This window comes from Homo sapiens, chromosome 1 (genome assembly GCF_000001405.40).
Source record: "Homo sapiens chromosome 1, GRCh38.p14 Primary Assembly".
NCBI classification, from domain to species: Eukaryota; Metazoa; Chordata; class Mammalia; order Primates; family Hominidae; genus Homo; species Homo sapiens.
Genome location: NC_000001.11, coordinates 241,621,459 through 241,641,484, shown reverse-complemented (window position 1 = coordinate 241,641,484; position 20,026 = coordinate 241,621,459). Strand labels below are relative to the sequence as shown.

At 39.8% G+C, this 20,026-nt stretch overlaps 2 protein-coding genes across 6 annotated transcripts in view, besides 5 other annotated features; both read left to right on the top strand.

The window, feature by feature from the left end:
• Positions 787 to 1,366: a silencer, noted in NCBI's record as "silent region_2010". NCBI's record gives its function as "represses an Ori minimal core promoter by ATAC-STARR-seq in GM12878 lymphoblastoid cells {active_cell/tissue: GM12878}" and the evidence as "EXISTENCE:reporter gene assay evidence [ECO:0000049][PMID:35858748]".
• Positions 787 to 1,418: a biological region, named in NCBI's record as "H3K27ac hESC enhancer GRCh37_chr1:241803369-241803938".
• Positions 849 to 1,418: an enhancer, noted in NCBI's record as "H3K27ac hESC enhancer chr1:241803369-241803938 (GRCh37/hg19 assembly coordinates)". NCBI's record gives its function as "activates a minimal SCP1, AML or CMV promoter by ChIP-STARR-seq in primed H9 embryonic stem cells {active_cell/tissue: H9 hESC(primed)}" and the evidence as "EXISTENCE:reporter gene assay evidence [ECO:0000049][PMID:30033119]".
• On the top strand, positions 1,116 to 12,634 carry CHML (CHM like Rab escort protein). 3 transcript variants are annotated; one of them, NM_001381854.1, is made up of 2 exons: positions 1,116 to 1,603; positions 5,688 to 12,634. In NM_001381854.1, exon 2 carries the CDS (start codon positions 5,719 to 5,721, stop codon positions 7,687 to 7,689), a length of 1,971 nt encoding a protein of 656 aa, NP_001368783.1. In that variant the 5' UTR covers positions 1,116 to 1,603; positions 5,688 to 5,718; the 3' UTR covers positions 7,690 to 12,634. The 3 variants fall into 3 exon arrangements, with proteins under 3 accessions (NP_001368783.1, NP_001368782.1, NP_001812.2); NM_001381853.1 differs by having other exon boundaries at positions 5,412 to 12,634; NM_001821.4 differs by lacking the exon at positions 1,116 to 1,603 and having other exon boundaries at positions 5,291 to 12,634.
• The window catches only part of OPN3 (opsin 3), a 47,246-nt gene continuing 28,335 nt past the window's right edge, over positions 1,116 to 20,026 (top strand). Inside the window, exons 1-2 of one of the 3 annotated variants that reach the window (NM_001381855.1) lie at positions 1,116 to 1,603; positions 5,688 to 12,634. In NM_001381855.1, the coding sequence (NP_001368784.1) occupies positions 1,231 to 1,603; positions 5,688 to 5,758 (444 nt within the window). In that variant the 5' untranslated portion in view covers positions 1,116 to 1,230 and the 3' untranslated portion in view covers positions 5,759 to 12,634. Of the gene's footprint in view, positions 1,604 to 5,411; positions 12,635 to 20,026 lie in introns of those variants that run through there. The other 2 variants (NM_001381856.1, NM_014322.3) reach the window with 2 other exon arrangements.
• Positions 1,419 to 1,989: an enhancer, noted in NCBI's record as "H3K27ac hESC enhancer chr1:241802798-241803368 (GRCh37/hg19 assembly coordinates)". NCBI's record gives its function as "activates a minimal SCP1, AML or CMV promoter by ChIP-STARR-seq in primed H9 embryonic stem cells {active_cell/tissue: H9 hESC(primed)}" and the evidence as "EXISTENCE:reporter gene assay evidence [ECO:0000049][PMID:30033119]".
• Positions 1,697 to 1,746: a silencer, noted in NCBI's record as "silent region_2009". NCBI's record gives its function as "represses an Ori minimal core promoter by ATAC-STARR-seq in GM12878 lymphoblastoid cells {active_cell/tissue: GM12878}" and the evidence as "EXISTENCE:reporter gene assay evidence [ECO:0000049][PMID:35858748]".

Genomic DNA, 20,026 nt, shown 5'->3' with positions numbered 1-20,026 from the left:
GTCATTCCCTACTGATCTTTCAAACAGAGGTGAGGCACGCCCGTATGGAGAGCAGTTTCTTTAGCTTGCACAAACCCTGTGTTCGTCACCAGTGTCCAGGACAGGCTGCAGGTGTGGCTGGGGACTGTGATCTTCTTGTAGGGCCTCCTTAGGGATTGTGCAACCACAAAGGCAGAAGCAGCTCTTGCAGAGTGTGATGACGTTCACAACCTATATTTGACTTGTACTATATTCTCATCACTACAGGAGAAGAGGCCCAATGGGAAATGTGTGCTGTTCTAAATATAGCACCTGCCTCCTATACCTGCTAGATTTAGGTTGAATCTTTCACTGCCTGTGAAGGACTTTAGCAGGCCTCAGTGACCGGAAAGATCTACCCACGCTTTCAAGCACAGGAAGGACGGTATTGGAAGGCCTTGGGGTCCAGCCCAGGGCTTAAAGTCAGTTCCATTGGAATGCCATTTTCAGAGAGTTTTCATCCCAGACTCTCCAAGGGTGGCAGGCTCTTGTATCAGCCCTGGGACATGTGTCCTCTAGCAGTCAGGTAGTTAGGCAGGCACCTGTCTATCAATTTGTTGTTTTTCTTCTCAGTTTTCCGGTAAGACTACCCCGAGCTCTTCAATGTTTTCTTTGCTTTTGTTTACATTGAGTGTATGACGCGGGATGGGCTTCGTAGGCTGGTTGTGGGTTATTACAGCTTCCCAGGAAGGGGAGAAACCCAATTCTTGCCAGCACGTGGTGGGCGCAGGCGCTCATAAATACTTAGGAATAAATGAATGTATAAGTGAGTGCATGAATGGGTGAGTGGACACGAAGCTTTCAAGGTGGGTGCAGGGAGGTGGGGGTGTGAAGAGCCATCGAGGCTACCCTGCGGCCCTGGCCCCCAGGCTATCCCGCGACGCGCGTCCACGCCGACCAGCGGAAGGTGCCCAGCCAGTGGGGGCGGGGCGAGCTAGCCGCGAGGACGCGCCCGCGGGGGGGCGGGGCTAAGAGGACGCGCCGGGAGCAGCGGAGCGACGAGGACAGGCCGCGGGGAGGGGCGGGGCCACGGGGGGTGCGCCGGGCGGAAGGGGCGGGAAGAGGGCGGGCCCGGCGCGCGGTAGCGCGGGCCCCTCAGTGCACAATGGCTAGAGCAGGCGGCGGAGCCCCAACCCCACCCAGTGCGGAGCGCGCCGCGAGCCCCGCCGCAAGCTGAGCGCCTCCGCCCGCCAGGCGCGCCGGCGCCGGGCCATGTACTCGGGGAACCGCAGCGGCGGCCACGGCTACTGGGACGGCGGCGGGGCCGCGGGCGCTGAGGGGCCGGCGCCGGCGGGGACACTGAGCCCCGCGCCCCTCTTCAGCCCCGGCACCTACGAGCGCCTGGCGCTGCTGCTGGGCTCCATTGGGCTGCTGGGCGTCGGCAACAACCTGCTGGTGCTCGTCCTCTACTACAAGTTCCAGCGGCTCCGCACTCCCACTCACCTCCTCCTGGTCAACATCAGCCTCAGCGACCTGCTGGTGTCCCTCTTCGGGGTCACCTTTACCTTCGTGTCCTGCCTGAGGAACGGCTGGGTGTGGGACACCGTGGGCTGCGTGTGGGACGGGTTTAGCGGCAGCCTCTTCGGTGAGTTGGACTGGGAGAAGGCAGCCTCCCCTCTGCAAACTTCCACTCCCCACCCCGCTGCCCGCTCCGTGCGTCCGCCCCCCAGCCCGCCCCGCACCGCTTCCCGCTCGGCCCCGCGCCCCCCGCCCTACACCGCCCCGCTCCCCGCTCGCCTCCTCAACGCTGCCCGACCCCAGCCGCATGGCGGGTGCCTTCCTCTTCCTCCGTCCCCTCCCGCCCCACGCTGTCCAGGACTCCATTCCTGTGGTCTCTCATCTGCCCCCCACGTTGACCCCAAACCCCGGCCCGCCTCCTTTCTTATTTGTTTTTACCTCCTAAGATCACTCAACAAGGCACGAAACCACGGCTTTTTACACTTTGAGGAAAGAGACGAGGGCCTGTAGAGTCAAGAGATTCAAGAAAAAAAGTGATTAACTCGTGAAAGTTGGAGGGAGTGATGAGATTAGATTCATGTACTACTATTTGTTTCCTAAAATGAGAGTAGAAAACCAAAATAACAATGTGTAAAAAAAAATTCTCATTAGTACTTGTAAACCTTTGAATGCTTTCTAGGGAATGAGACAGTTTCATTCAGGTCCTCAGAATGCAAATTGGCATGTGCCCTGTAAGCTGTTTTTACTATTTTCCGTCTTATAGATGGGTTCCAGCACACCAGAATCTTGGGTGAGATTACAAATGGCTCAGCCAATACCATCTCAGGTGAACAAATACTGTAATTAGCTCTGCAATCGGTAGATTTCATTAAAGTAGAACTTCATTGTTGAAGATGTATTTCGACAGTACTCTTATTATGGAAGATTTAAGTTTCACTGAGACATGATGTTTTGAAGGATGATCAACAACTCAGCAAATCATTGAAGGAAGCGTAGAAAGGAAATTATTTTTTTGTGTGCCTCAGGAATTTCATTTGTAGGGAGATTTGAAATAGAAATGTGTATTTCTCAAGGCTTAAAGTTCCTTTTTTAAATCCTGAAATCCATTGATACTTTATTGCTTTAATCTTGGTAGGTTTGGGAGAACAAAAATCTTTGTAGAATTATCAAAAATATTTTCTTATTCAGTAACCTCTATGCTATGACAAACCCAAATATTATATTTGTAATGATTCATTTTTTGGCGTTTTGAAGGAAATAAGAAAATAGATTTTATTTGATTGCTTCAGAGGTTATAATATTTTCCTCCCCGCCCCTCATAAGCTTTAATCTGATAATTTCATTTGAACAAACATTTGAAATTTAGGGAGGGGACTGCAAGTGTATGTAGGCTGTGGTATGGACGACTATGGGATTACACTCCTTATATTAATTGTAAAATACCTATCAGGCAGTTTCTTCGGCAATGCTAAGAAGGTTATTCAAGCCCAAGCCTAAAGTATCATCAGTAGTGTTCTCCAGGGTAGTCAACAGGTGTTTGTTCACAGACATCAAAGTTCTTTTTTCCTTGAAGTGCCTTTTCTGTGCTGGAAAATTCTGTTTTCGTGCCCGGGAGTTTGAACACAAGGGTGTACTGAGTTCTTTATAAGTGCTAGCTGTCATCCACCCTCTTCCTCACCTCTTTCCTCTGCTGATCCCACCCTCCTGTGTCTCCTGGTCACTTCTCCCTTCCTGTTTTTCTTCTTCACCATCCCTCCTAGGGTCCCAGCCCAGTGATTTTCTAAGTTCACTTAGATTTTTGCCTGAGGGCTGCCCTATTTTTCAGGGCATTTAGTGCTTTCAACCATGACTTTCTCCCTGTTTTTAATGTAGAGGTGGAAACCCTGAGATAAGAGATTCCGAGACTTAAGCCCTGGGGGGCAAGTTAGTAGTGAAGTTACTATAGAGTTTAAAAAGTTTTTAGCGAAGATGATTTCTTTGCCTGGAGTAAATTCCGGAGTTTGTGCTTCTAGATCCAGGTTAAGGATGAAGAAAAGGAGGGCACTTCCTGAGTTATCCCTGAGCAAGAACTACCTAACAGTGGAGTATTGAAGGGGAGGAAGTTAAAAATGAGGGAAGTAGCTTCTTGATGCAGAGGCTTTTGGAGAGGCTTGCCCTATCTGTTGGAAAGACCATTGGTCTGATGGCACAAGAGTGGATCCTGTTCCTTATCCTGCGACTCATGCATTGTGCGGGCTTTCTCAAGTCACTTAATCTCTCCAGCTATCAGTTCTCTCATCTCTATTATTGGGTAATTCAGCTTAATGCTCTGTAAGGCCATCCTACTTGCTTTGCATTTTGATGACCCCTTTGATATCTGTAGGTTAGAACGTGCCTGATCTTAGCGCTTATTGATTGTGTCTTCTGCTCCTACTCCTACCCTGAGCCCTGTCTTTCTAAGCCAAGAAGCAGCATGTACTATGGTTACACCTCTTCAGATACCATCATAGATTCAGTCTCCATCTTCACACCCTGCTGGAAGAAGCAGAATAAGTAATTCAGACATACTTATATTTATACTTGAGTGGGCCAGGCAACTGCTGCATTCTGTACTTAGTTCCTGGCTTCTTAGGGAATGCCAAAAATGAGTGGAATCCTTGATATTTTTGAGACAGAGGCTTTGACTAGACAGGACTGTTAGGATTGCCATTTTAGTTAAACTAAAGGTGTGTGCCCTATGCAATTTAATCTAAGTTCCAATTGAATGGCTTGTTTTTCCAGTATCCAGGATTATTAGTCATCTTGGGCTAGACAGGTACAGCTTGTACTGATTTATATTTCAGTAGGTTTAACAGTAGTGAAAACCAGAGCTCAAAACTGTGCAATGATGAATATTAGAAAGTTTAGCAGTATTGTTGCTTTAGCCTAAAGACTTTCAGGTGAGTATGCTCTTCAGCACCTTGGCCTTTCTACCTCTGGCCACACAGGGCATCACACAGATGTCTTCCGCACATGGAATGTAACCAGCATTATGCTCAAAGTTAACAGGAGAACCTTATTATTTTTTTTTTTTTAAACTTCCCCTTCAAAAATAAGAACAAACAGTGTTAGTCTTGGCAGAGGATGTTTAGATAGACCTTTTGCTTGGGATGCAGAGATTCAGGGTTGCAGAGACAGTGGCGAAATGCAAACATCACTGTATTCAAATGTTAGAAGTAGGTATTATTTATGTTAAGATATTTTAATATGAAATCAGAAGTTTTCCTTTTTTACTTACACTTACACACTTTTTTCCTTTATTACTTATATGCATGTGTACATTCATATAATATTTTTAATACATTTTCCTCCTCAGGGCTATTATGAGCCTAAATATTTTTAAATGGCCAGTTGTTTTACTGAATTAATCCTTTTGTAATAATCTGACTAGTAATTGAGTAGAAATAGTCTCATGTTGCTACCATGAGATCCTAAGGGTGGTTGTGGCATGGAAAGGTCTTATATTCAGCTGTTCTGGAATCACACATAGACTGTAATGGCCACAGAAATATTTTGAATCATGGCAGTATGCACATAGTTTATAATCTGTTTCTATAAACAGTGGAGCCATGCGTTCCTTTTAGTCTAAGCTCACAGCTGTGTATAGATTTATTCACATGATAGTTTTCTTAAAAGCTAAAGTTAGAGAATTGTATTATGTTATTTCTTCTTTATTTTTGTGGAACATTATGTTCATTCTCTATTACTATGTTGCCTGATTCTTGGGAGGGCTGTTATATCTCTATTGTCCATTCTCAAGAAATTAGAAAATATGTGAGAAAGCATTTAAGACATGCTTTAGTAGAGGTTTATGTCCAAATAAGATGTCACACTCCAATGGATTGTCATTGTTGCATGAAATTATTTTTCTCTTATATTGTTTACAATGTATTCTTTCTTGAATTTTCTTCTTTCAGAGAAGAGTTCCAGTCACAAATGCATATATGATGCATTTTGACATTTACTGCTAAGATGAAATGCAGAAATGAAACCACACATCCATTTTAGTATTCTCAGATGTGATTAGATGTACTTGCTCATGTTTTTATGCTACTGACTTATAAGAAAAAAAATATTTTAAAAGGGTAACCGTTAAACAGCTAGGACCTGCAACTTCAGTGCTTCTGGGATAACTGGAACATCAGAAGGACAGATTTTATTACAGCATAATCACACCTCATTTCTTTCATCAGCAGTTGTCACCAGACGCTGTTACTTCCTAAAATGGCGGACAATCTTCCCACAGAGTTTGATGTGGTTATAATAGGGACAGGTTTGCCCGAATCCATCCTTGCAGCTGCATGTTCAAGAAGTGGTCAGAGGGTTCTGCATATTGATTCAAGAAGCTACTATGGAGGAAACTGGGCTAGTTTCAGCTTTTCAGGATTGCTATCCTGGTTGAAGGAGTATCAGCAAAACAATGACATTGGGGAAGAAAGTACTGTTGTATGGCAGGACCTGATCCATGAAACAGAAGAAGCCATCACTCTTCGCAAGAAGGATGAAACTATTCAACACACAGAAGCTTTTTGCTACGCCAGTCAGGATATGGAGGACAACGTTGAAGAGATTGGTGCTCTGCAGAAAAATCCTTCTTTGGGGGTGTCTAATACCTTCACTGAAGTTCTGGATTCTGCATTACCTGAAGAAAGCCAGTTATCGTATTTTAATAGCGACGAAATGCCTGCAAAACACACTCAGAAAAGTGATACAGAGATTTCACTAGAAGTAACTGATGTAGAGGAATCAGTGGAGAAGGAAAAGTATTGTGGAGATAAAACTTGTATGCACACAGTTTCAGATAAAGATGGAGATAAAGATGAAAGCAAATCTACAGTAGAAGATAAGGCCGATGAACCAATTAGAAATAGGATTACTTACTCTCAAATAGTTAAAGAAGGCAGGAGGTTTAATATTGATTTGGTGTCAAAACTGCTGTATTCTCAAGGATTGCTAATTGATCTTTTAATCAAATCAGATGTTAGTCGTTATGTAGAATTTAAAAATGTCACTAGGATTCTTGCATTTCGGGAAGGAAAGGTAGAACAAGTTCCTTGTTCCAGAGCAGATGTCTTTAATAGCAAGGAACTCACCATGGTTGAAAAGAGGATGCTAATGAAATTTCTCACATTTTGTTTAGAGTATGAACAACATCCTGATGAATACCAAGCTTTCAGGCAGTGTTCATTTTCAGAATACTTAAAAACTAAAAAACTAACTCCCAACCTTCAACATTTTGTACTGCACTCAATTGCAATGACATCAGAATCATCTTGCACTACAATAGATGGTCTTAACGCAACTAAAAACTTCCTTCAGTGTCTCGGACGGTTTGGCAACACCCCCTTTTTATTTCCCTTGTATGGCCAAGGAGAAATTCCCCAGGGTTTCTGTAGGATGTGTGCAGTTTTTGGTGGAATCTATTGTCTTCGTCATAAAGTACAATGCTTTGTAGTCGACAAAGAATCTGGACGATGTAAAGCAATTATAGATCACTTTGGTCAAAGAATAAATGCTAAATATTTTATTGTGGAAGACAGTTACCTTTCTGAGGAAACATGCTCAAATGTGCAGTATAAGCAGATCTCTAGGGCAGTACTCATTACAGATCAGTCTATACTAAAGACAGATTTAGATCAGCAGACTTCCATTCTGATAGTTCCTCCAGCAGAGCCAGGAGCTTGTGCTGTACGGGTCACAGAATTATGTTCTTCAACCATGACATGCATGAAGGACACCTATCTGGTACATTTGACATGTTCATCTTCTAAAACAGCAAGAGAAGACTTAGAATCAGTGGTGAAGAAATTATTCACTCCGTATACTGAAACAGAAATAAACGAGGAAGAACTTACAAAGCCAAGACTCTTGTGGGCTCTTTATTTTAATATGAGAGATTCCTCGGGAATCAGCAGAAGCTCGTATAATGGCTTGCCTTCCAATGTTTATGTCTGCTCTGGGCCTGACTGTGGCCTGGGAAATGAGCATGCTGTCAAGCAAGCTGAAACACTTTTCCAGGAGATCTTTCCAACTGAAGAATTCTGCCCTCCACCTCCAAATCCAGAAGACATTATCTTTGATGGTGATGATAAGCAGCCAGAGGCTCCTGGAACCAATAATGTAGTAATGGCCAAACTAGAATCCTCTGAGGAAAGCAAAAACCTAGAAAGCCCAGAGAAGCACCTTCAAAATTAGAAAAGAGCAATCTCGAAATGCTGTTTTGGACCTCCTTCATGGCATCAGAATTTTCTCATTTAAAGGACAGTTTCCCATATGAGTAATTAGAAGTGGTTATATATGATGAATGCTATGCAGATGTTGTCTTTAACTCTCAGACATTCAGCATTGAATATCTTTGTTAACCTATCAATGAGTGATTTATTGATTATTGAACATTTTGTTTAGAATGGGCTATATGACCCAGAATCTTAAAACAGAGTTAGCTTTATTTTAGTATTGGGTATATATGTAAGGGTTCCATATTAGCAACTCAGCTTAAAGGTAATGTATTTGCTAATGATCTTCAGATTTTATCTTTGTCTACAGAACAATTAGTAATACCCAAGTAATATTTTAATTACTTTTGCAGCTGTTACAGTTGCTGCGGCCTGTTCGAATAGTGAAACATACACAAATGGTAAATTATGTGGATCTTTTGCATATAATATAAATGTATAGACATGGTGGTAGGAATAGCAACTAATACAAATGCCAATATGATAATAAAATACATTTGTCTATAATCGTTTAAAGATTAGCTTTGCATGATCCTTTATGCACTGTGAAGGTCTGAAGTTTATAATACTCACTTGACCCTTGTAACTGATGAGGCAATGATGCCACCACAGTATTCTAATTTACAAAAAGAATTGGAGTTCAATTAGTGGTTGTAAAGCTCATTTTGGGGAGGTTGATTGCAAAGGAAATTTGAAAGATAAGATTTATTCTTATTTAATACTTCAGAAAATTTCTGCAGAGCCCTGCCCTGGCACTTAAAATAGCTTCCAATAAGTAACTTAGACCAAAAGGAAAAATGAAGTGCCCCAGGAGAAGATACTTCAGAAGGGCTGTTCTGAAATTCCTAAGGAGGAATTCTTAGGAATTCCTAAGGAGAAACAGAGTGAGGCCTTTTTAACCTGAGATTACAGATACTTATAAAACCCTCTATAAATAGATTACCCAAGGTTTTTCAGTGAGAATGAAACATACCACCTTGTTGGCTCTACCACTTTAATTAATATCACTATAACATAACTGATAGGAATGAATCAAAGGAGGATTTACCATGCCCTTTCGGTTGTGTCCCACTTAACAAATTGTGAAGTAACAATTTTCTGTAATCTCTCTTGCCTCTTAGCTGTTATCCAGAGTATAGAAACTTTTTTTCTCCCAGAGCCACCCAACGTCATAAAACTGGTAGTACTCTAATGGTGAAAACCTGTGGAGCTGTCAGAAGACATGAACTTGCTTTTCCTCTAGTCCAGTTTCCATTCTTCAGTCAGAGTATGATGATCCCTGTGACAGTTTTTGCTCTGAAATAGTATTTATCATGTGTTTGGTACCTAGTATTATGCTTTCTCATGACAGTTTCTCAACAATCCTGTGAGGCAAATTCGCATGTACCCTCTGTATTAGTGTGTTCTCATGCTGTTGATAAAGACACACCTGAGATGGTAATTTGTAAAGAAAAAGGTTTAATGGACTCACAGTTCCATGTGGCTGGGGAGGCCTCACAATCATGGTGGAAGGTGAAAGGCACGTCTTACATGGCGGTGGACAAGAGAGAATGAGAACTAAGTGAAAAGGGAAACCCTTTTAAAACCATCAGATATCGTGAGACTTATTTACTACCATGAGAACAGTATGGGGGAAACAACTCCATGATTCAGTTATCTCCCACCAGGTTCCTCCCACAACACGTGGGAATTATAGGAGCTACAATTCAAGATGAGATTTGAGTGGGAACACAGCCAAACCATATCACCTTCAAAGAAGAAATAAGAGAATTATTAGTAATTTGCTCAGAATCTGGTATGTGGAAGAGCCAACATGGGGACCCAGCCTTTTGTGATTCTAAAACCTTTGATCTTTCTACTAACATTCACTGTTAGAGAGTGTAGGCGCTGCAGGAGAAAGAGAAAGTGCCCACGAAAATTAGTCTAGCATTGCCGGGGGTAAAAAGCACACACTGGTCCTGCAGCTTATTGAATCAGAGAAATGTGAAGATAAGATGAACTAAACAAACATATTTTAGAGCATGGATCTCGAAGCAGAATTTGGCTAAATTTTAACAAAATGTTCTTCAGTAACACATCTCATGATCTGAAGATTGTGTTACAAAAAATATTATCAGGCCAAAATTTGTTCGGAATACACTAATTTTTGCTCCTCTATATGTGAGGAAAATGAGACTAGACAGATTTAAGTAATTGACAACTTACTTAAAGTAGCAAAGTCATGGATTGTATTGACTTTTAAAAATATAGTAAAAGTCATATTTAAACTTTATCCTAAAGTTTAAATCTAACAGAACAACTGAAATACTTGAAATAGACCTATAAAATAGTAATTAAAATGAGAAATACATAAGATGATAAATAAAATGAAGGTGAAGGTATTCCAGATCTACCGAAAAGATTTTCAGTATCACAGATTATTCATAAGAAATTGAGAAAAGGAACAATCAGAAGTTGCAAAAGATGGTATAGCCGAATATAATGGAAATAGGAAAAATTAGTCGAAAATAAAGGTTGATTTAGAAATGAAGAAAATGAATATATTTCTTAATACAAAATAAGTGGGAAATGAGAAGTTATACCAATAAAAAGCATTTAAAAATTTAGGGGATATTGTAACCCAGTATAATTTTCTGACAGGTTGGACTTTGACCCTAATGGACTTACTGGTGAACTTTTTCAAATGTTTAAATAATGTCTATCCATGTATCATGAAGGACAGTATGCTTCAAATTGTCTTTTGAGGCAGACATGTTCTCAGTACTAAAAGACATTTTTAGAAGGATTTTATTCTCAACAGATGCAAAATGCAAAATAAAATATTGGCAAACAATACAGCAACAAATAATTTACTATCACTCAGGATTATAAGGCTGGTGTTAAGCAGAACAGCCATTAAATCAGCATCAAAAGAACAAATAGTAAAATCCAAAGTATTAATTACAGATAACTTTTCAAAAATTCATCATTCACCCTTGATTTAATTATTTCTCTGGCAATGATTTAATAGACTTCTCGGAGTCTGTTAAGTACTTAAACCAAGAACTACCATTATTCCTACTGGGAAAACATAAACATTTCTCAAGTGGAAAGTAAACAGTGTTGGCACTATTTTTATATATGGTTAAAGAGACCTGTCATTGCAATAAAAGCCAGCATTCACAAAATGAGGAAGATAAGGAAAGTAGCATAAATATTTTCTATTAACATGGCTTTACAACTGCTAAAACTTATAGTATAAAAATGTACTAACAAAGACTAATTCAAGAAGTTGCAGGATACACAATTTTTAAAAATCTCATTTCTACATCTTAGCAGTGACAAACTGCAATTTAAAAAGTGTGTTTGGTTATTAATATATATGAGACTTTTAAAGAAAGTTATATAACTACATAGAGATAAATTAAGAAAGATGCCTAAATAGAAGCAAGTTTAAAGAGCTATATTTTTAAACATGAACAAACTCCCATGGGAGCCATGCCAGTGTAGTGGAAAAGTAGTACATGGGGAGATGGGGAGTTTTTTTGAAAACCAGAATTACAGTTCTCATTTCACTACTTACCAGTTGTATACTCTTGGGAAAGTCACTCCTAGTATCTATTTCACCATCTACAGAAGAGAAATACTTCACAGAATTATTGTGGGGATTAAGTTAGATAATGTGTTTTAAAATATAAAGCTACATCCAAAGAAATGCCAATATGTGACATTAGTATGAAATTTACTACAGTTCCATTTAACATTCCAACTGGTTGCTGTGTGGAATATGGCATAATTGTAATAAATTATTTAGGAAAGCAAGCAAAGATGTAAGTTTTTTTAATTTAGGGGGAAAAAATGGGAGCCTTGCTCTCCAAATCCTTAAAACATGCTATTAAGCAACCTTTCTGAATATTCTGTGGTGCCAAGTAGAAAGTTTAACTGAAATTAATAAGCCAATGGAAAGAAAGAAATATTAATAACTGCTGGTGGAAAGACTAGCTAGATGTCAGTGTGGAAAGATTAGATCCACTTTACATGTGATATTCCAAATGAATTAAAATGTTAAGTATAAAAAGAAAAATACTACAAGTCTCACACCAATAGTGGTATAAAGGAACTTCATGGCAATTGGCAAGGTAGATCAACTAAGAGAAAAAGTTTTAAATGTGTAGTAAATAGGAAAAAGACAAAACAAGATGGAATTTAAAAGAAGCTATTTGCATTACACATGGATGCACTCAGTTTTTGTAAAACTATATGCATATCCATAAGGGTTTGTACTCTTAGGCAAATTTATAAAGCGATCGTGTATAAATGATATAAAAAATCAATTTGAATGGTATTCAAATTTCCTAATATTAAAAATGCAACTTTGACTTAGTTCATGCTATTGTATTAGCAAAACTGTTTTAATTGCATGTGTCCTTATAGCAGCAGCATTGTGTATTAGTAGCCTTTTAAGAGAACTGTGTAGAAGACTATAAAAAGGGCTTTATAACTGATCTTTTGACATACTCACTTTGAGTGGCATATGCCCAGGAAAATATTTAAAAGAAAGAAAAGCTATTTGTACAAAGTTTTCTAGCAGTTCCACTCAGATAACTTTAAGGGGGAAAAAAGCCCAACGATTGGAAATGGTTAAGTAAATTTTGGTGTATTGCTAGTGCTATCACAGAATGTTATATAGCCATTCAATAATATTGATATATGTCAAATTGTATGCAAAAAAGTGAGATTCAAAAATGTTAATAAGAACATAAATTGTGTTTACTGATACATGTGAAAATTTAGGTCTACATTGAAAAGAATCAGAAGATAACATGTAATTCAGTTTAACATTAGGGGTTCTTTATTTTTCTTCTGTTAAATATTGATGTATGCAATAAAAAATAAAAGATTAATTGGTAAAGTGGTTTACTGAACTGGTGAGAAAATTACTGATTTCTTAGAAGTTTCTAAAATTCTATTTTAAATTAAAATATACATTTCTAGGTGTTAAAGTCAAAAAAGATCATCTTCAGATATGTGTGGCAGAAAGTTTTACAAATCTTGGTGGGGAGGAATTCTTGGTCAAGATGGACTTCATAATTTATTTTTTCTTAGTTGATCACCATTAAGGAATAGTAATAGAAATATTAGTAATACATTCTAGGACATCAGCATGAAGACGTCATATACTAATTAAAGTATGCCCCTAAATGCAAACATGTCACTTGGGAATCTTAAAAACCGTGGAGATGAAAGTTGGATTCATAGATGTGACCGAACCTGGTTTGCAGAGAGACCTGTGCGAAGGCCAGATCTTGGGGGACTGAGGATGCGACAGACCCTTTCTTCCAGTCAGCGTGAGAGATCCAAATCAAGGTGATTTAATTTAATAAGCATCCATTGAACACCTACTGTGGGTTATGAATTGGCATTATTCTGGGAAATTAGAGATACAAAAATAAGTGCTCTGTACCTGACAAACATTCTGTTGGAATGTTTTCCTTAAGGTAAGGTACCTTTTACCTTAATGAGCATTTAAAACATTTTTTACCCGTCTCACTCCCCACTGTAACTAGCACTTCCTGTTTCCTGGCAAAAGAAAAAACAAAACAGAAGTCTCTGCCTTGTGCACGGCATCCCTTTTAAAAGGTGCCAAAACTCACTACACAGTTGAAAACAGGTGGCTTAAAGGTTAAAAGCCGAATCGTTTAACACTCTCCGAAGTCTATTTCGGATGACATTCAGTGAGTTAAGTTTTTCACATTAATCAGAAACTTTTTCTTTTGCCTGGGGAAGGAGCCAAGAGGAGCTCTAGGGGATTGGGTCTAGAAGCCCAGGACATCAAGGGCTTAGGGAGAGGAAGTATAAAGAAATTCGATCATAAAGTTTCAATACCAAGAAATTCTGATTAAGATTAATTTTATTTGCCTTCATCTTGATGGATCAAGTGAAAGTCATGCTCCTGTTGCGTAAAGGTGGCTGCTTCCTCTGAAAATTTTCAGATTTTTATTTTAGTATTTTTACCTTCATTATAAAGAGGTATTTGTAGTGTAGTTCATTTCCTTTTAACCAGCAACCAAATGTATTCACATTTCAACAGCAGGGGGCACAGTACTTCCAGCTTTCTGTAAGGCACGAACAGTACAAAAGCTGAGTGATTCACCTGAAAGAATTTGGCTATAACAAAAATATATGACAACAGTTCTGCTCCAGCACTTGTAGGAATACTTTTCTCTTGACAACTACATTTTCTTATGTGATCCTCAGGACAACTGTGTAAGGTAAGAAAGGGCAGGTATTTATACCAGTTTCTTTGTAGATAAAACCTGGAGGAGTTAAGTGACTTGCCTGGACTCTCCTACTTTGTATTGAGACCCATTAATGAGAAATGAAATGCTACTGTTTCGCTTTGCTTGCATCTCAAGAGTGATTTATTACATGTAAGAATATGTAACACATAAAGCACTATTTAAAAAGTGGTGGCTTCTGGAACTTTAGATTGGCTTTTCAACAAATAGCGAAATAATCCTATAAATTACAGTTTTTATAATTATAATAAAATGGGCCAACTCCGATTGAAAGAGAAGGGAGTTAAGTTCACTCCTGAAATCAGAAAAACGATCTCTTTATTCTGATATGTCGAGCTTAAAATCTTTATATATAATACCTTCATTGGTCCCTGCTGATGTCCTATGATTCTTGGCATTTGCTTGTTGCTAAATATATATTTAATTCTAATACACTCTGGACAACTATTTAATATTAAGGCATACACATCAGAGGAATGACTGGATTCAGAGGTGCAGGGTTGACAAAGTGTAGCAGGAAGATGAATACCTGATTATAATTCAGTCAGAATGAGATACATATTTAGGCATTTTATAGTTTAATCCTTGAGGATACTAGTACAGTGTGTTTTATGCCATTTCTTTTTATTATACATCATATAATTAAAGCCCTTGAGTTCTCTATTGCTGCTCATTTGAGACTCTTACTTGTTCCGTATTCATCTCTGACATAAAAGTAAATATTACCCAGTATGGGGAAACTTTATTTTTTATCATTACTATAAGTTAATTTTACTATATTTGTAAGTTAAGTTTACAGTTAAAGCTTGTGTAACCATTGCAGTATTTTACCAGCTTTAAAGGAAAAATTTGGGGGAATGTATGGCTGAGGAGGTGCTTGGAGTCTTGTTTTTAGGCAATTAATAATACAGTTAATTTCCTAAAATGATTTAAGTGAAGTATTATGGAGAAATGAGCTGTACATTGTTCTGTTCTCATTTTATAAATACATAACATTGGTAATGACCCCTGCTGTTGAAACATAAGTACCAACCAGATAGAAAAGTAAAAAGCAAAAGATGAGAATTGCACTGGAAATAGTTTGTCAGGAGATTGTAATCTCCTTTCAAACAAAGACTATGTGTATGGTACCTCTGCATTCCCTGGAATTGCTTACATTTCACAGGTACCCCCCCGCAACGATTTGCTAATTGAAAGACCAGCTAGCAGTTTCCAGTGGCTCTTTTCTTCCATGTCATCCTCTTGCCTTCACACTGTTCTAGGTTCCAACCTGAGGAACAGAGGACCACTAGGACCCATCTCTGGTAAAATATATCGCAATCATAGTCCTGGCTTCTTGTATTATTAGTACAGATCATTAGTTTTAGGGTAAGCCTATATGAGTCAATAAAGCTACTTAAAAATAGTACACATTTAGATATAAGAGGTTCCATCTAAATAATTTTGCTAATTTTCTCCCATTAAGGCAGTGATTTTTAAACCAGAGTGTTTGGCCTTTTATTGGCAAAGTCTGGAGACATTCTGGTTTTCACATCTGGGAATCAGATGCTACTGTCATTCAGTGGGTAGAGGGCTGGGGTGTTGTTCAACATTCTGCAATGCAGGTCAGCTCCCTCATAACAAAGAATTATCCAGCCCCAAATATCGATAAGCGCCAAGTTGAGAAAAACTGCACTAGAGCAAGTGTTGAATATTCATAAGGAGTCTGCTTTCTTCCTCAGGTTTTCTGACCCCTATCAGTGCTTCTTCAACAGGGTCATTGTTGATAGGAACTGCTGTCTTTGCTGCTCCCATATAGATCCCCCAGTTCCCCGCTACCTTCCCTCGCCAATCTTCACAGTGGCTTCCTTCTGGTGGTTTATTATAACACAGATTCCAAAACAAAAGTTTTGAATATGAGAGAATATTTTTCATCCTGCCCCAGTTTGGTATAGGTTTGAAATTTGCAATTTTTGGTATTTTTAAAATAATTTTATCCAGAAATACCGTTCCTCTGCAAAGCAATTATATTAATAGAAATGAGAGGTAATCTTTCTATGCATGGCAACTACCTCAAAATCAATGTAAAAACATTTTAGCATACTGTTTTTGGAAGGGGTGCTATTCACTTGACAGACTATTGGCAAATTAATCAAATTACACATATATAACAATAGTATGGCTTCGGAGAAGCCTATTCAAGACTAAATAAACCATCCATAATTGTACACACATTTGCACTCACTGGTGGTTCACCAAGCAATGAGATAGGCAGCAGCTTGGCATTTTATAGATGGGTGTTAACTATAGAAAATACTTAATTGCAATGGAATGAGTCAGTATGCTTAATGCAGATAAGAACTTTAACTAGACACTGCCAAGTGAAGCATAGGGTTCATTACAATGTAATATTTATTGAGCATGAACCGTGTCCCAGTTTCTGTGCTAGACTCTGGGATACAGAGATGAAATTGTAACTAACACTTAGCACTAACTGGATGCCAATGGTTGCTATATTTATTTTATGTTATCCTCATAAAAACCTAGTTGGGTAGGTATTTTATTATCCCCATTTGCAGATGGGTAAATAGACAATGTGAAGACAAAGAGCTTGACCAAGATCACACAGCTGGTAAGTGGTAGAAGTGGGCTTCAAACCCAGGCAGTTTGATTCCATAACCCCCAAGCTTGGTGCACATGCTATAGTGAGATGTGATGTGGTGCCTTCAGAGGTGTCCAGTGAAGTCCAGGAACACTGGTAACTGCTTCTGTGCCATGAACTGTTCTGATTTCTTCACACGTTTTATCTCAATTTTTAAAGCAGCTCTGTGAGGTAGGTATTAATGTTTCCATATGTAGATGAGAAATAAGGCTCAGTAACTCTCTGAAAGTCAGAATCTGTAAGTACTGGAACGCTCAAGCCATTGGGCCTGACATTGATGCACAATTAACCACCATATTAATCAGGCTGTGATCATTTCTGCAGTATATAAACAGAGTAGTCCTGCTAGGGAAATCTAGGAATGCTTCAAAAAAGAAAAGGTGTTTCTGCTTGGCCCTTATGGTTGAGAAGGATTTCCATGGGCTGATATGAGGAACAACACCCCATGTAGGAAGAATAGCAGAAACAGGCATGGAGGCATTGACACAGTCTGCATGGCTGGAGCATGGAGTGCCTGACCTGGCATCGGGAGGCAGGACAGGTGAAAGAGGGTCCACAGTGTCTGGAGCGTAGAGTGCCTGGCCTGGCGTGGAGAGGCAGGACAGGTGAAAGAGGGTCCACAGTGTCTGGAGCATAGAGTGCCTGGCCTGGCGTGGAGAGGCAGGACAGGTGGAAGAGGGTCCACAGTGTCTGGAGCATAGAGTGCCTGGCCTGGCGTGGGGAGGCAGGACAGGTGGAAGAGGGTCCACAGTGCCTGGAGCATAGAGTGCCTGGCCTGGCATGGAGAGGCAGGACAGGTGGAAGAGGGTCCACAGTGCCTGGAGCATAGAGTGCCTGGCCTGGCGTGGAGAGGCAGGACAGGTGGAAGAGGGTCCAGTGTCTGTAACCTTGAATAGCTTGCTAAGATTTGGGGGCTTTTATTCAGCGGATGAGGTACTGTGGAAAGTTTTTCTTGATAAGACTTATGTTTCAAAGGTTAGCCTGGTGACAGTGGAGAGGAGGCTGGGAAAAAGATGTGGATACTGGAGGCAAGGAGAAAGAATGTGATAAGGCCTGGATAGGGCAGAGCAAAGGGAATGAAAGAGGCAGAGAACAATTTGAAGACAGAAATACAGGATTTGGAAAATGTCTACATTACAAGTTAGGTAGAGAGGGAAAGAAATCGAGAATGTCTAAAATTTCAGTTTTGGTGTCTGAATGTATGTAATTCATTTAACTGGAAACAGGGTTTGAGGAAAAGCAAATGGATTTAGTTTTGGTCATACAGGGTGATCAGTAGATGGCTCTGGAAGGTCTTGGAGGGCTTTGTATGCCATTCTAAGGAATTCTGACTACTTTATCCTAGTGGAGAAGCACCTAATGGTATTAAATAAGGAAACAGATTGCATTTGCTTATCTTTGTGTCCATATGGAAGATGAATCGAGGAGAGGCAAGAATGGAGAAGGGTGATCAGACAGAAAGCTATTAAAACAGTTTGGCAAGAGCTGGTGAGAGTCTGAATTAGGGCAATAGTAGTCAGGACAACAAAGGACAGATTTGAGAACTGTTGAGATAAATTAGCCTGACTTAGTGATTGAGTGAATGAGAGTACTGCAAAAATGGAAGAGAAATCAGAAGAAAATTAATAGCTGTGGACTTGGTAATGCAAACATGGTGCCCTGCCTGATTTGGCATAGTAACTCCCACCCCTGGATTAGTCCTGAGCCAGAAAGAGTTTTTTTTGTTTGTTTTTTTTGTTTTTTGTTTTTTGTTTTTTTAAGATTTCTAGGTATAGACTCTTTAAAAAAAACAAACTTCCTGGGCTTCTGAAAGCTCAGGGATTTGAGTCAGAGCGTGCCAGTACTTTGATTGCCAGGGAGTCTGTCCAAATACAAAGAAACTAAGCCAGTGATGGGAGGAGAGAGCCAAAGCCCTGATGACATTGCTTCAGGCCTCTGGATGATGCGGCCCATATATTTCTACTGGACACTATGCTCGAAGCCAGTGCCACTTTGGACTTACCAGTTACATAAGATTACCCACTTACTTGCTCCTTAAAGGGAAAAAACATGCGGTATAGAAATAGCACATGATGCAGAAGAGAGAAGTGTTATAGAAGCCAAGAGGAATTTCAACAAGAGCGTGGGCCAAAGTGTTACCATTGCAAAGAGGCTGGGTGAAACCAATGTTTTAGCAATTGATTTATCAATTGTTGAAATTCTAGAACAATGGTTTTAAACTAAAGAGTGCTAATGAATTGAATGGGCACCTCTTTAAAATGTGGATCACCAGGCAGCACTCCTGCATTCTGGGCCAGTAGGTACACAGAGGACTATTGTAATCGATTGTTGGGTGGGTGGTGGGTTGTCATGCATTGTGACATAAATAAGAGGGAATCAAACAAGTATCAGATGATATGGTAGTGAGATTTAATTTCTCTTCTGGTGAGTATTTTGGCAAGTTATAAGAAAGCATTAAAATTTTGCACACCTTCTTACCTAACAATTATATTGTCAAGAATTTAACCTAAGGAGATAATCATGAATGCATATAAATATATAGCTACACTGATTATAATGTCCATAGCTAACACTTAGTGTGTAACATATGCCAAGTACTGTGATAAGAGCTTTATGCATATTAATGAACTCTATTTTTGTCTCAACTCCATGAGGTAGTTAGATATATCAGTACTCCATTTTACATTTAGAAAATTAAAGCACCAGGAGATTAATTTGTTCAAGGTCACACAAAAAGTGGAGGATATGAAACCTAAACCAGTGCCCTTGATCACTATGTCTCACTCTCTCTCCCCACAGCACTGTTAGGAGAGTGAAACATTGAAAGAAATTCAAAAGTCCACAGTTTGAAGCCTGAGAGAGCACATATTCCAGAAATCAACATACCACCAAGCAAATCATTCAGGACCTACACCCTGGAAACACTCTTTACCCTGCCTCTCCCCAGAAGTTGATCAGAACTGATCCCATAGTACCTCACATCCCTGCGAAAATCAGTTGATGCCAGAAGGGAAAACCTTTCCAGTTGGCCATGCCTGGGCTCACATCTCTTTATGACCCATTATACTTATTGATCTGTTCCAATCCTGAGCTTCCACTGGATCCTCCCTTCATGAGCCGTACACTCCCCTATAACTTCAACATCTTTGAACATTTCTCTACCTCCTTCCTTTAACTTAACCCTGGCTGCCCCCAAGAACCCTACTTTCCCACCTGTCCCAGCTGTGTTTTCCTTAACACCAGGTATACCCCAGTACCAGGTAGTAGAATAGGTGACTCATTAAATATCACTGCTGCTTCTGAGGCATTACTCCCTCATTCTATAAAACCCTTTGCTTCATCAACACTCTCCCAAGGTGAGGTTGCAAAATTGAACT